At 38.0% G+C, this 13723-nt stretch overlaps 1 long non-coding RNA gene across 1 annotated transcript in view; it reads right to left on the bottom strand.

Moving 5' to 3' along the window:
• Window positions 1-507: 507 nt before the first annotated feature.
• Window positions 508-13723, bottom strand: part of RMEL3 (enriched in melanoma 3) — a 140307-nt gene continuing 127091 nt past the window's right edge. The window contains exon 4 of the long non-coding RNA NR_186596.1: window positions 508-2985. This is a non-coding gene — a long non-coding RNA (enriched in melanoma 3). The remainder of the gene's footprint in view (window positions 2986-13723) is intronic.

Raw genomic sequence — 13723 nt, 5'->3', positions numbered from 1 at the left:
CAATTTACCTTATGAGGACAGCATAACCCTGATACCAAAAAGACATTACAAGAAAAGAAAACTATAGAACAATAATCCTTGTGAGCATATAACAAAATATTGTTTATAAAATGTTAGCAAATTGAATCTCATAATATGTAAAATGGATACTATATCATGACTAGGGGCTGGGTGGTATATCCCAGGAATACAACATTTGAATATCAATCATTGTAATTCACAGCATTAACGGAATAAAAAAGAAAATTCATATAATTATCTTAATAATGGCTAAAAGGCATTTTAAAAATTCAACAACCATTTGTGATAAACACTCTCAGCAAACTAAGAGTTCTTTAATTGAATCTATAAAAGATCTACAGACAACATCATGCAAAGGATGAAAGACTGAATGCTTTTCCCTAGGATTGGGAACAAGCAAGGAGAATGCTGTTACCACTCCTACCCAACATTGCGCTGGAGGTTCTAACCACTGTAATAAAGCAAGAAAAATAAGTAGAAGGCATATAGATTCAAAAGGAAGAAGTAAACTATCTTTATTCACAAATGACATAATTATGTACACAGAAAACTCTTAAAATGATATTTTAATAGCTATTAGAATTAATAAATTAAGCAAGGTCACAGGATGCAAAGTATATACACAATTATTACCTTTCTATATGTGAGCAAAAAACTATTGCAAACATATACAACAATGCATTTAAAATAACAGCAAAAACATGAAGTACACAAAGCAAAACTTAACAAAGACGTATACATTGAAAACTACAGAACATTGCTCAGAAAAATTAAAGATTGTAATAAGCACCATTTTCATGGAATAAAAGACATACTATTGTTAAGATGTCAGTTGTCTGCCAATTGATCTGTACATTTAACCAAATCGAAATATAAATTCTAGCATTTTTTTCTGAAAACTGACAAGCTGATCCTAAAAATCATATGGGAATACAGAGAAGCCAAAATAATTTTGATAAAGAATGAAATTTGAGACATATACTACTTGTTTCAAGAATGATTATAATGCTACAGTATTCAAGATAGTATGGTATTGGTATAAAGGTGGGCATATAGACCATTGGAACAGACACAGACCCATGCATACATGGAAAATTTATTTTAAGAAGGAGCCAGTAATTCACTGGAGGAAAAATAGTCTTTTCAACAAATTGTTCTAGAACAACTGGATATCTACAAGGGGGAAAAAATGCTCTTTAACCCTTATCTCTCAACATATATAAAAATTAACTCAAAATGGAAAACTGATCTAAATTAAAGCTAAAATTATTATGTTTTTAGAAGAAAACATAAAAGAATATCTTTTGACACTTTGAGTTTTGCAAAGATTTCTTAGGTCATATAAAGCATGAATCAGAATATTAAAAGATTTCATCTCAATAATAATATAAGACAACCTACTTTTTCTAATAGTCAAAAAATTTTAACAAATATTTTACGAAACACTACAATAGCTTATAATCACATATAATGATGCTTAACATTACTAGTCATCAGGGCAATGCAAATTAAAACTACAATGGATAGGAGCTTAGGGTACGGGGACAAAAAAGGAAAAAACTACAATGGATATCACAACATAGTTACTAGAATAGCTAGTTAAACACGTTGATGATAACTAGTGTTGGTGAGGCTGTAAAGCAACTAGAATTTTCATACATTGCTAATGAGACTATCGAGTATTAAATTCACTTTCAAAAATTGTTCAGCAGTCTCCTGAAGTTACCAAGACACGCTTACCATATGATCCAGCAATTCCATTCCTGAGTATTTACCCAAGAGAAATGAAAACATATGTTCACTAAAATACTTGTACACATCTGTTTGTGACAGCTATGTTCATAAAAGCCCAAAACCGGAAACAACGTCCATCAGTAGACAAACGTATAAACAAATTGTAGTGAATTTGTGACATAGACTACTACACAGCAACAAAAAATGATGAACCACTGATACACATAACAAAATAAATGAATCTCAAAAACAATACACAGGGCAAAAGAAACAAGATACAATGCAGCATGGCGCAGGGTGCATTGTAGAGTCAGCACTGGCATAAAACTTAGTGTGAGTGTCTGTTTAAATTTACAACTTAGACACCTGACTTATATCACCCAGCCTGAAAGCACCTGCCATATAATTCCATTTATGTGATATTCTAGAACAGGCAAAAATAATCTGTAGTGATAGATATCAAATCAGTAGCCACCTTAGACCAAGAGTAGATGGCATTTACTGCAAAGGGCATGAGGAAATGTTTAGGGATGATGGAAATGCCATTATCTTGATTAGGGTGGTGGTTCAATGCGTGTAAGCAATCTGCCAAAGCCCATTAAAGTATACACTTAAAATAGGTGTATTTTATTTTCTGTAAATTATAATGCAATAATACTGACTTTAAAAAAAATAAAAGAAAAGGCATTGCTCATGCTCCACTTTCACCCCTCTTCTGCCTAGCTGTGTGGGCTGAAATGTGAATGAGGTTGGGATAAGCCAGCTTCAACCATAACAGAGCAACAGGTGAAGGAACCTGGATCCCAGCAGCCTAGCTGCCCCCGAGTGTGGGATCATTCATTCCCGGAGAGAAACAAGCTCCAATCTTGTTTGAGTCATCGCATTTTTGAGTCACTACATAACACAGCTTAGCCTTATCCCCAACTAACATAATTACATATAATTGAGTATCAGTTACTTTATGTGTATAAGCCTTATCTATTCCAAATAGACTAAAACTTCTTCATAAGACAAGCCTGGAGAAAAATAAGCCTTAGTCCCCAGATCACTTAGAACATACAGGCTCATCAATGATAGCCATTCCCCACACTTCCCTCTATCACCCAGATGTCTCATGTGACTGAAACCCTGCAGTGGTGGTCAGTGCATTCTGGCTGGCTGAGTAGTGCCTTCTTTGTCACAGGAATACCCAACAATTAAGCAAACATACTGGAATTATTTCATGGTCTCCTGCAGAAAGAAAAAGAAAAAAAATTAAAGAACTAACAGTACATGTAGTCAAGAACACAATAAGAACATGATGAATTCTCAAAAAAAGGCTAACAACATAATATTGAAAAGGTAATGGAGTCCATATGACACCAAAATAATCAGTTCAAGAGAAAAATAAAACTGTTTAAATTATCAAAACACTACCAATGTCAAAACACTGCCCCCACCCACCCACACACACACACACACACACACACTGATTAAAGCTTTAAACTTTTAATTCATTCTGTTGTTACTACATAAACAATACACCCCTATGACATTCTTCCCATTAACCTCTTAGAACCTAAATTCACATCTACTTTAGAAGACTGGAAGAATAGAAGGATGATAGAGGTTTTTCCAAGCAGCAGGCGGTAGCAGTAGTTTTAGTGTCACTCCTCTAAAAAAGTACAGTGAAGTGAAAGAAGGGGAGGGAGGGCAAGTTAGTATCATAAACTGATGAATGGCTCTTTCTTTTTTCATTGAGCACCTACTGTGTGCAAAGCCTTATCCAAAATTCTAAAAAAAAGATTGGTGAGCCAAAGTCACTGTTTATAAATAGTAGACCTGTGCCCAACTTTTATAAGAGAAGAAGCTCTTTGTTAAGTTTATTACTTTTTAAAAGATTGGCAAAATATCATTTTAGGGCTCAGGCATGGGTATTTTTCTCAGAAGATGCTGGTCTAAATCTTTTTGTGGCATGTACCGTCACTTCAGGAGTTGGAAGTTTTTCTGTATAACTCACTAAATGAGTAAATGGATAGAATAAGATGAAAAGTCATGAAACCCAAGGACATTTGAACTCAATACAGTGAAATTATTCAATGTTATTTTATTAGAAACTTTTTCACTAACTTATTCATTTAACAGAATTTACTACAGAATGCAGAAAGTTTCCTGTTTTCACCTCATCATATTTTGTTTTAAAAAATTACATTACTGACCAGGAGACATTTAAAATGTTTAACTTACTAAAAGTGAAAATAAAGCACAAATTAAGAATTCACTGATAGAATACAGTCATTTCTATTCCTTCCTTGTATATAAATGTCTATATTATCCATTATTAGCCAACTTTCAATGAGCAAAACTGAAACATACAATCTTTCCATTCTTAAGATTCCCTCGTCTCCAGCCTCATTTTTTAATCTTAACTCTGAGAACATAGAAAAAGAAAAAGAAAAAAAAAACTAAACACTTGCATTGTATTAAATCACAGGTGTTGAGAAAAACCTTTGCTGTCTTAGAAACATCCTAAGTATGCTTACAATAGTAGTTTTTTGCAATGTAGTTCATTTATTTTTAAAAACACAAAGTAATGAACTTAATTGCTAAGTAACCACTAGCAAGGTTTCACTTCTGTGTCACTTTAGGAAACAGAAGGAAAATACAGTCTCATACACTAGAAGCACACTTACAACTCCACCTTCTGTGTAGACTTTCTTCTCAGTTTGGCTAGAGTTACAGAACTGACCAGGTACAAAACTCCTGGCAAAGAGATTTATTTGAGGTCATAAATCAATAACTCCTCTGGAGCCCTATAGGAAAGAGCCCCTTACCATCGGCACTGCTTCTTATCTCTTCCCTCCCGTGCCCCTTTGGGGTGGCACATATATTCTGTTTTTGTTTGTTTGTTTGTTTGTTTGTTTGTTTTTCTAAACTCTTGTCATTTTATTTCTGCATGGAGTCTTTTTAGTTAAGCGACTTTTTTTACATATACTTTAAGTTCTAAGGTACATGTGCCCAACGTGCAGGTTTGTTACATAGGTATACATGCGCCATATTGGTTTGCTGCACCCATCAACTCTTCATTTACATTAGGTATTTCTCCTAATGCTATCCCTCCCCCAGCCCCCGACAGGCCCCGGTGTGTGATGTTCCCCCCCTTGTGTCCATGTGTTCTCATTGTTCAATTGGGGTGGCACATATATTCTTTCCTGAGCAGGAGCAGCTAAAGAGGGAACTTCTGCTCCCCCATCCCCCTTTCATTCTCTGCCCACCTCTTCACATGCTACCCCCTGCCTCCAACGCCAGTGGAGCAAAAATTGTCCATTTCATCATCTGAGTCCAGGACTTAGATCGGCTTGACACAAGAGTGATTGTGCCCTGAAAGCAGGAGCCCTGGCATGTTCTTCCAGCTTCCATATAGCATGCCGGCAAAGACCAGTCTCCAGGGCTCACCTCTTTCCCTCAGCCAAAACCAAGTAGCTCACTCTCACTCTCTTTCCAACTGTCTCCACATCCATCACTCCTTCTCTTCCATCTCCTCTGCCCATGACTGTGGGGCTTTTCGATTCAAGAGCAATAAAATAGGAAGCCTCACTTAGGCCTGGAGCCTAAGTAGTTTTCCAGTGTGACATTTATACAATGAGATATTTGGATGCTTATCAAATATTTAAAAAGTCATATCTCATTTCCCATTTGGCAATTGTTTTCCACTGTGTGCTCCCTCCTCAAAGATTTTTTTTAAAAAACGGTCGGGGGGTAGTGATTGTGAGGATTCCCAGACACTGCCCTGAACACCCACGATCAGGACTAACTTCCCCTCCTTACAATCCTGCATTGAGCAAACTACAATGTGATCCTCAAAACAATCCTTTATCTTTATTTGCACAATACTCTATAATTTGCAGTTTTCACACCTACTATCTCATTGAAGTCTCCTACAACTTCACGAGGTTGGTACAGCAGAGAACATCAACTATAATAACAATAATAAGGCTAAAAAGAATCAGTTGGCTCACACTGTGAGTCTACAGAGAGCAGGACCTGAAGCTGAGATCTCTAACTCGTAGTTCAGGACATTTCCCTCCAGGTATGACCACAGGCTCTCAGGGTTCACTTGCTTCTAAAAGAGAGAAGTGGAACTATACTCAGGAAACGTGTACTAGTGGGGATTTTGTGAACATTTGGACATAGAAGCCATGTGCAAGCGTATGTCTGTGTGTACACTAATGTTGGCAAAGGACCAAAACAAAAGAGACTCATACCATTATTTGATCTAGCATCATTTTAGTAGGTCTTATTATTTTTGCAAATTGCTTTCAGGACTAAACGTATCTATTTTTCTGCTTCTTGGAAATTTGCACAATAGCAAGAGTCCTCATAACCTCTTTCTCTTGACCATTCTTAGTTTAACACAGGGAACCCTACTACCAGGTTTCCCCACCTAGATGAAATAATCACAAATACTATCATATATAATCAGATGATTTCACATCCTTCTTTACTTCCATAGAAAAAGCAGCATGCTTCTAAAACAAAGAGATTTCGTTACTAACAATATCAAAGTTTACTTGCTGCTTTTTTTCTTCTCTGGCACTTTGATCTACGAAACATTACTTTTAAACTAAAACCGTACAATTGAAACTGGAGCACACACCAAACCAGTAATAAAGTGGGAAGATAAAATAGAGGTCACCAGATATCTTCATCAGTGTAAGTAGAAAAGCCAGCCCTGGATGGCTGGTGTAGAGATCTGTCCTCACATTTCAGGACAAAAGCAAATCCCTATTGTGATTAAAAAAATGGTTCTAGATGAAAATAATAAACCCACTATGTTATTAATAGTAACAGTCTGTACCCAAACTACAACCAGACTATAGACTTGGGGCAAAGGGACAGTAACAACCACGTTAAACAGACTTAGTAGGTAATGAAGCTTCAACCAGCTGGGATGAAATCAAATCAGTCTCCTAGTTTACTTTGTTTGCCAAGTTCTGGGTTACAGATGCTGCTGAGGGTCTCTAAGATGAACAGACCAAGGTAAGTATTGACAGACTCTTTCGGTCTGAGAAAGCTGTCAGACACTGCTCTAATGCAGAGGGTATGTGTTCCATTTGTTCATGGTTGTCATTTGACTAAGGGATCTAACCAAATTTGCATATACTGGAGTCTTAAGAAGTATTTTCATCAAACATCTGGAATTGGTGTTTAGTTTGTAGTCAGAGTTGTAACATGAATTCCACAACATTTTCATTAATTGCATGTATTATGGCATCTTTTCATCAGTTGCAAAGCTTAGTTGCTTACAGGATGAAAAGGAGACTCTAAATCCTGAGACCTTCGCCAAGTAGCATAAGCTCAAGGTAAACTGATTCCTCCATCTGTTAAATAGTGGGGGAGATTACCTTGCTTGGTTTGGGTCCTGAGGCTTAACCAATTCATTTGTTGATTTTTCTCCATGAAATCCTCATGGAGTATCAACTATATCCTAGTCAGTATTGGAAGGAATGGAGGGGTGGAGCCAGGGGTAAGATATAGCAATGAACAGACAGACAAATATTCCCACCTTATGGAGTTACATTCAGGTTGGGGAGGTGGCAGGAGGGGAGAAGATCCAACAATGAGCAAACAAACTAGCAAGTACGTCAAAATGTAAAAGGTGCTGTGGAAAAACTAATGGCTGGAAGGAAGATAGGGAGTGTGAAGGTGATGGTAGGTTTCTGTTTTAAACTGAGGTATTAGAGAAGTCCTCAATGTAAAGATGGCAAAAAAAGAAAAAAAAAAAGTTGAAAATACTGTATTGTTTGTATCTTCCCAAAGTCTGGCAAATACTCAAGTGAAGAAACTACATTTTAGGAGGAACAAGGCAGTCTACTCTTCGTTCTGATCCCCCTGTTCTAATCCTCTTCCAAAATGAAGTCCTAGTGCACTATCTGAATGCCCATAAGTGAGCACTACATGCTATGCAAGATTAATCTAAATGTTATTCTAGGATCTTATTAGTTTTTCATTAGGGGAGTAGTGAGAGGCACCATCATTTGAAGAAAGATCACAGAACCGGAATTTGGAGGTTCGAGTCTCTAGTCTCAACTCTGCCATAAATCTTTTTGTCACTTAAGGCCAACCGTTGATTTGTTTGGTTGGTTGGTTGTCTGGTTGGTTGGTTTTAATGGATCGCTAAACATTTGGGAAGTAAAGTATATGATATAAAAGCCACAAATTAAATTAGAAAGGAAAAGAAAACTTTTCAGTACTATTTCTAGTGAAAAAAAAAAAAAACTCTTAAAAGAGATTTAGAGAATGAGAGTGATATAATTAGTCAAATGAGAGATGAGACGCGAATCAAAACATTCAGAAAGAGGGCACACTGCATCAGAGGATGAGGAATGGTGAAGATGAAAAAGAAAAGTCATTTCCTTGACTGGAACCAAAATACTGAAGAGATTAATAGCAGACAGTGAAAGAAAGAGTGTAAACCAGAGCCCACTGAAGGATCAACTCGAGGATGTGAGAACTTCATGTCTGATCTAAAACTTCAAGGGAAAAGGAAACTCTGTTCATCCAATTACGTAGGAAAAAATAATGCCATTTAAACAAGAATCAAGAAAGGAAATTTGAAAAGTAAATTCAGAGAGTGAAAGCAAACACTTTCAGAGTCAAAGATAATACCAAGAAGACAAAAAGATAACATCAAAATAAACTCTAAGAGTGGTCTATTATGATATTCTGTATTGTCCAACAGTTCTAGAATTGCCATTTAGTATTTTCATATTCAGAAAGGGAATGTAATTCAATGTAAAGATAGTCTTAACAAAAGACTAGGGTGCCAGAAAGTAAAAAGAAAGCTACGAACTAAAAATTCAAATTAAATCATTACCCCAGATTTGTTGTTTGATGACAGTCTATTTCTATTACAGACTTTTTGCATAAAGGAAAACTGTGGCTTTGGAAAACATTTTAGAAAACATCCAGTTTATCCTTCAGTTATTAGAGAAGTTTCTCAAGTGCAGAGAACTTGTGCCATCACAAAGGGCAGTTAGCAAGAGAGAGTGCAACACAAGAAGAGAATCAGGACCAGTATCAGAACTAGAATCAAAAGTGTGCTCTTAACCCTAACCATTCTAGGAAGAAGGCTTTCATCAATGTCCTAGGTAGAAGAGATTGGTGGTTCATGCCAGAATGACCTTTTACATCAGTGGTTTTTAAATTTTGAGCTAAAGAACTCTTCCAACCAAACCTCATTTACAGGCCCAGTATAAACAGACAAAAGAGGATCTAATCTACTATGGAAAAGAGCCATGAAATCCACCTTTTCAGGTCTCCCTCAGCCCATAAAGCCACTCAGTTGGACATGGTGGTACATGGTATGAAAACCAATGGCTTTAAATCATACTCATATATTAGGATTTAAATTTGCTGTATGGGGAGATTAAATGTACATTTAAAATGTGTATATATATATAGTATTTACATAAATACACATGTAAATATATTGCATTCGTCCATTTTGCATTTCTATACAGGAATACCTGAGACTGGGAAATTTATAAAGAAAAGAGGCTTATCTGGCTCACTGTTGTGCAGGCTGTACAGACAGCATAGTTCCAGCATCTGCTTCTCATGAGGCCTCAGGAAGTGTTCACTCATGGTGGAAGGTGAAGGAGAAGCAAGTGTGTCATATGCTAAGAGAGGGAGCAAGAGAGAAGGGGAGAGGAGGTTCCAGGCTCTCTTGAAACAACCAGCTCTTGTGTGAACTAATAAAGCAATAACTCAGTTATTACTACAGGGAAGGCACCAAGCCCTTCCTGAAGGATCTGTCCGCATGACCCAAACACCTCCCCGTAGCCCCACCTCCAACACTGGGGATCATATTTCAACATGAAATTTGTAGGGAACAAATATCCAAATCATATCGTATATCTCTTTAATACATAAAAATGAATTTACATTAACTTTTCAATAAAGCTGGTGTCTGTCTGAGGTCCAGAGTTTATTGAGGACCATCTGAATCTGGTGAGAGTTTCCACCTTTGGAGTCACTGTCCTGATGGGTACACCAGGCTTAGGATCACACAAAGCAGGTGCCTAATACAGCCCAGCTCCATATGTGTTGACTACATAACACCTGTCTTCTATTTAAAGACATTCCTTGGAAAGCATATTCAGGAATAGTCTATAAAATCCAATGACTAGGTTATCCGAAAGTCTGAGAATAGCTTTGGTAAAGTAAATTACTTTGGTAAAGGAAGCAGAAGTAGGGCTAAAAAAAAGGCCAAAGTAAATCTAAAACTAGAACACAGTCTTTTGCCTAAGTACAATGTACATTAATAGTTTATGGTTCTCTGGACTGTTTTGTTTTTGTTCTTTTTCATTTATTTGTCTTGCTCTTGCTTTTTTTTACCTAGATATTTGCCATTTAGAAATCTTTATCAAACTATCCACAATGACATCTATGTATGTGATGTCCTCTGGGTCATTGGAGTACACAGCCCACTGACATGTACTACACAGAGCTGCACTGAGATTACTATGAGGTGGGGAGCAGAGGGTGAGATATGATCTGCGACAGACTCTAGAATAAATAAGCCCCAAGTTTCCACCTTATCTCAACTGTAATGAATGCATAATGGAAATGAAATCATAGCTATGTATCCATTTCATTTGACATTTTTTATGGGTTAAGGAAAATAAGAAGAGCAGACTCAGATCAGCACTTTCCCGGCAGACAAGTCAGAAAAAAAATGAGCTAGTTAGTTGTGCTTTATGGATCAATTCTTAAAACAAATGGAAGGGTTCACTCCACGCATTCATCCATTTAGACTTATAAATAAAAACTAAGTGAGAAGCATTCAGTCACTCTTCAGAAGGCTTTGCTTGAGAACTGAGGGATGTGCCTCTCAAACTCCCTAACCCTCCCGTTCTCTTCAACAGTAAACCAGGCTGTCTTTTACCACCAAGATTCTGAGACCCAGAAACAAAGACACAACAAGCCAGAGTTCTCTGAATTTTAAGGAACTGGAAATTAACAGGGTGAGGCTTGGAAAGAGGAGCTCTTCCTTCTCTTTCTAATGAAATCCCTCAGAGAGAAACCCCCTTTCCATTTGAATGAAAACCAGAAATGGCAGAGATTATATTAAAAAAAATTTTTTAAAACATTGTCTTCAGTTGCTGTGAAATGAGAGATTATTTTCAAATTTCCTAGGAATAAATTTCACCAGCTGGGTAAACTTTGTAGTTCAGAGGTCTCGCAGGCAATTGCTGGCTCCCATCCAAGCACAGAAATGACAAAAACCCACTTTGAACTCAGACTGCCATGATGATATCCTCTGGAGAACGAAAGAGAAAGAATAAAAAGGTATCTGCAGGATTCCCCTAAGCAGAGAGGTTTGGCTGCAACATACATTTCAAAGGGTTTTATGATTTCTGCTACAAAAAGCAGCATCAGAAGGAGCTGCTGTCTGGGTTCTGAATGAGCACCAATAACACACCTAGCTGGGGGTTTAGGGCAAGGGGTCCCACTCAGTAGAGTGTGCAGATAAGAAAATCGAACTGCCCATTTAGCTGAACAAATTGTTGGTGCGCTGGTTACATTCAGCCTCTCATGGGCCTCTTGAATACATCTCAGGAAGAGACAAAAGGAAAAAGACCACATCTTTGTTTCTCCAGAAGAAAGAGGTATCGGATTTCTTCCTTTAAATCAAGTCTCCAAGTGAAAAAAGGAAACATGAAATGTTAACAGTCTCAGTAAGGTTTCCTCTAATGTCTCTTGTGGTGCCTTGAATCTTTGTAGTTAAGTTTAGACTTAATAGTCTCATTTTTCCAAGGATTTCTCCGGAGGGTTTGTTCAAAGCAGCAACACAAGGTCATCCAGGGAAAAGGAGGTAGGAGAAAATGCCTCCCCCTCATCCAGAAAAATCCTTTTCATCTCGTCTCACAAATGCTACATCAATTAAAGAAACTCCCCTAGCCATCTCACCTCCATGGTCAGATTCTGTAAGCCCTATGTGGAATGCAATGAAAAGGAATGGAAACAGGAAAACTCCCAAGAACTACCTTGAGACAAAGGAGTCTTCCAGAGCCTGACAAGATGCTCCCCTTGACCAAATTCTAGGCAGGCTCTTTTGAGCTGCCTTTTTTGACTAGGCCCCATCCTTGGGCACATTATCAAGAGCCCAGTTTTAGCAAGAATCTTGCTAAATCCGTTTAGAGAGAATCTCCACTTTCTATATATGATTAGCCACAACACCTGACCAAATTATTCATCTTCCCCACTTGGTATCTGATGACCCTGGCCTGCCTTCAGTAAGAATCCTGTCACGTACATTTAGCCAGAATCCTCGAGGCTTTCTCTTAGTAATTTTCCATCCACTGACACCCACCCTGCTCCTTGGCTGTGCATCCTGACTTGCACACTCCATATTTGGAATTGGGCCCAGTTCTATACTGAGGCCTCTTTTCTCCTATTACAATAGTCCTGAATCAAATATTCCTTTTCTGCTGTAAATACTCTCAAGTTCAGGTTTTTCTTTGGCAAGCTTATCCCTTCTGCAAGACTGTGCATAGGAACCTTGACTCTCTGATATGTGGACAAAGCTATTTGTTTATTCACAGAATGGAAGGAATCTTGCTTAAAGTGGATGGTTTACAGAGATCTGGGATGCAGAAATGGTTTTTCAATACTGAGAATGTTTCTTCCATGGAATCAGTGAATTGTTTCAGCTCAGTTTTAAGAAGAAATCACAGGATTCCTGACACTATACTTAGCATAGATGCTGAGGGATGAGAGCAAATTGGTAAGGATTCCTTAATATGAGAAGTCTCCTAGGCCCTCTGATGGAACTTCCTGCCCCTCAAGCCTTGATATTTTTCTCCTGGGAAATCTAGAATTAGCACCCTTGTGGCTAAACTTTTCCCACATCTAGACCTAGAGTGGAATGCCAACCCATCTGCAGAATCACTGCACACTAAAATGTTCCTACTGGAAGGGACCCTAGAGATCATCTGCCAGGGTCCTCATTTTATAGATGTGGGAACTGACACTCCCAAATATTTAACAGTGCTCCTCGCCACCAGGTAATGTCTCCCAGAGGAGTGATGCCTTCCATTTGCAAACAAGCCAAGTTTAGAAGAGACAAAAAACAAAAGGAATTAGTTTAATTCCCAAACATATTCAAGTTCTAGGCCATTCCAATGAAAGAAAAGAGATTGATAAATCATTCTGTACCATAGAAGCCAAAAGAAGACCAAGTTATTTGAATAAAATTTACCCACCTTCAACTGATTTAACTCCACAGTTAAAACACAACATCTCAACTCACATGGACTGTTTTACCCCAAGGGTTCAGGGATGGCCCCCATCTATTTGGCCAGGCATTAGCCCAAGACTTGAGCCAGTTCTCATACCTGGACACTCTTGTCCTTCAGTATGTGGATGATTTAATTTTAGCACCCGTTCAGAAACCTTGCGCCATCAAGCCACCCAAGCACTCTTAAATTTCCTCGCTACATGTGGCTATAAGGTTTCCAAACCAAAGGCTTAGCTCTGCTCACAGCAGGATAAATGCTTAGGGCTAAAATTATCCAAAGGCACCAGGGCCCTCAGTGAGGAACGTATGCAGCCTATACTGGCTTATCCTCATCCCAAAACCCTAAAGCAACTAAGAGGGTTCCTTGGCATAACAGGTTTCTGCTGAATATGGATTCCCAGGTATGGCGAAACAGCCAGACCATTATATACACTAATTAGGGAAACTCAAAAAGCCAATACCCATTTAGTAAGATAGACACCTGAAGCAGAAGCAGCTTTCCAGGCCCTAAAGAAGGCCCTAACCCAAGCTGCAGTGTTACACTTACCAACAAGGCAAGACTTTTATTTATATGTCACAGAAAAAAACAGGAATAGCTCTAGGAGTCCTTACACAGGTCCGAAGGAGGAGCTTGCAACCTGTGACATACCTGAGTAAGGAAATTGATGTAGTGACAAAGGATTG

This window comes from Homo sapiens, chromosome 5 (assembly GCF_000001405.40).
Source record: "Homo sapiens chromosome 5, GRCh38.p14 Primary Assembly".
In the NCBI taxonomy this organism is placed as follows: Eukaryota; Metazoa; Chordata; class Mammalia; order Primates; family Hominidae; genus Homo; species Homo sapiens.
Note: the sequence above shows the minus strand (reverse complement) of the source record. Positions and strands in the feature narration are given on the sequence as shown.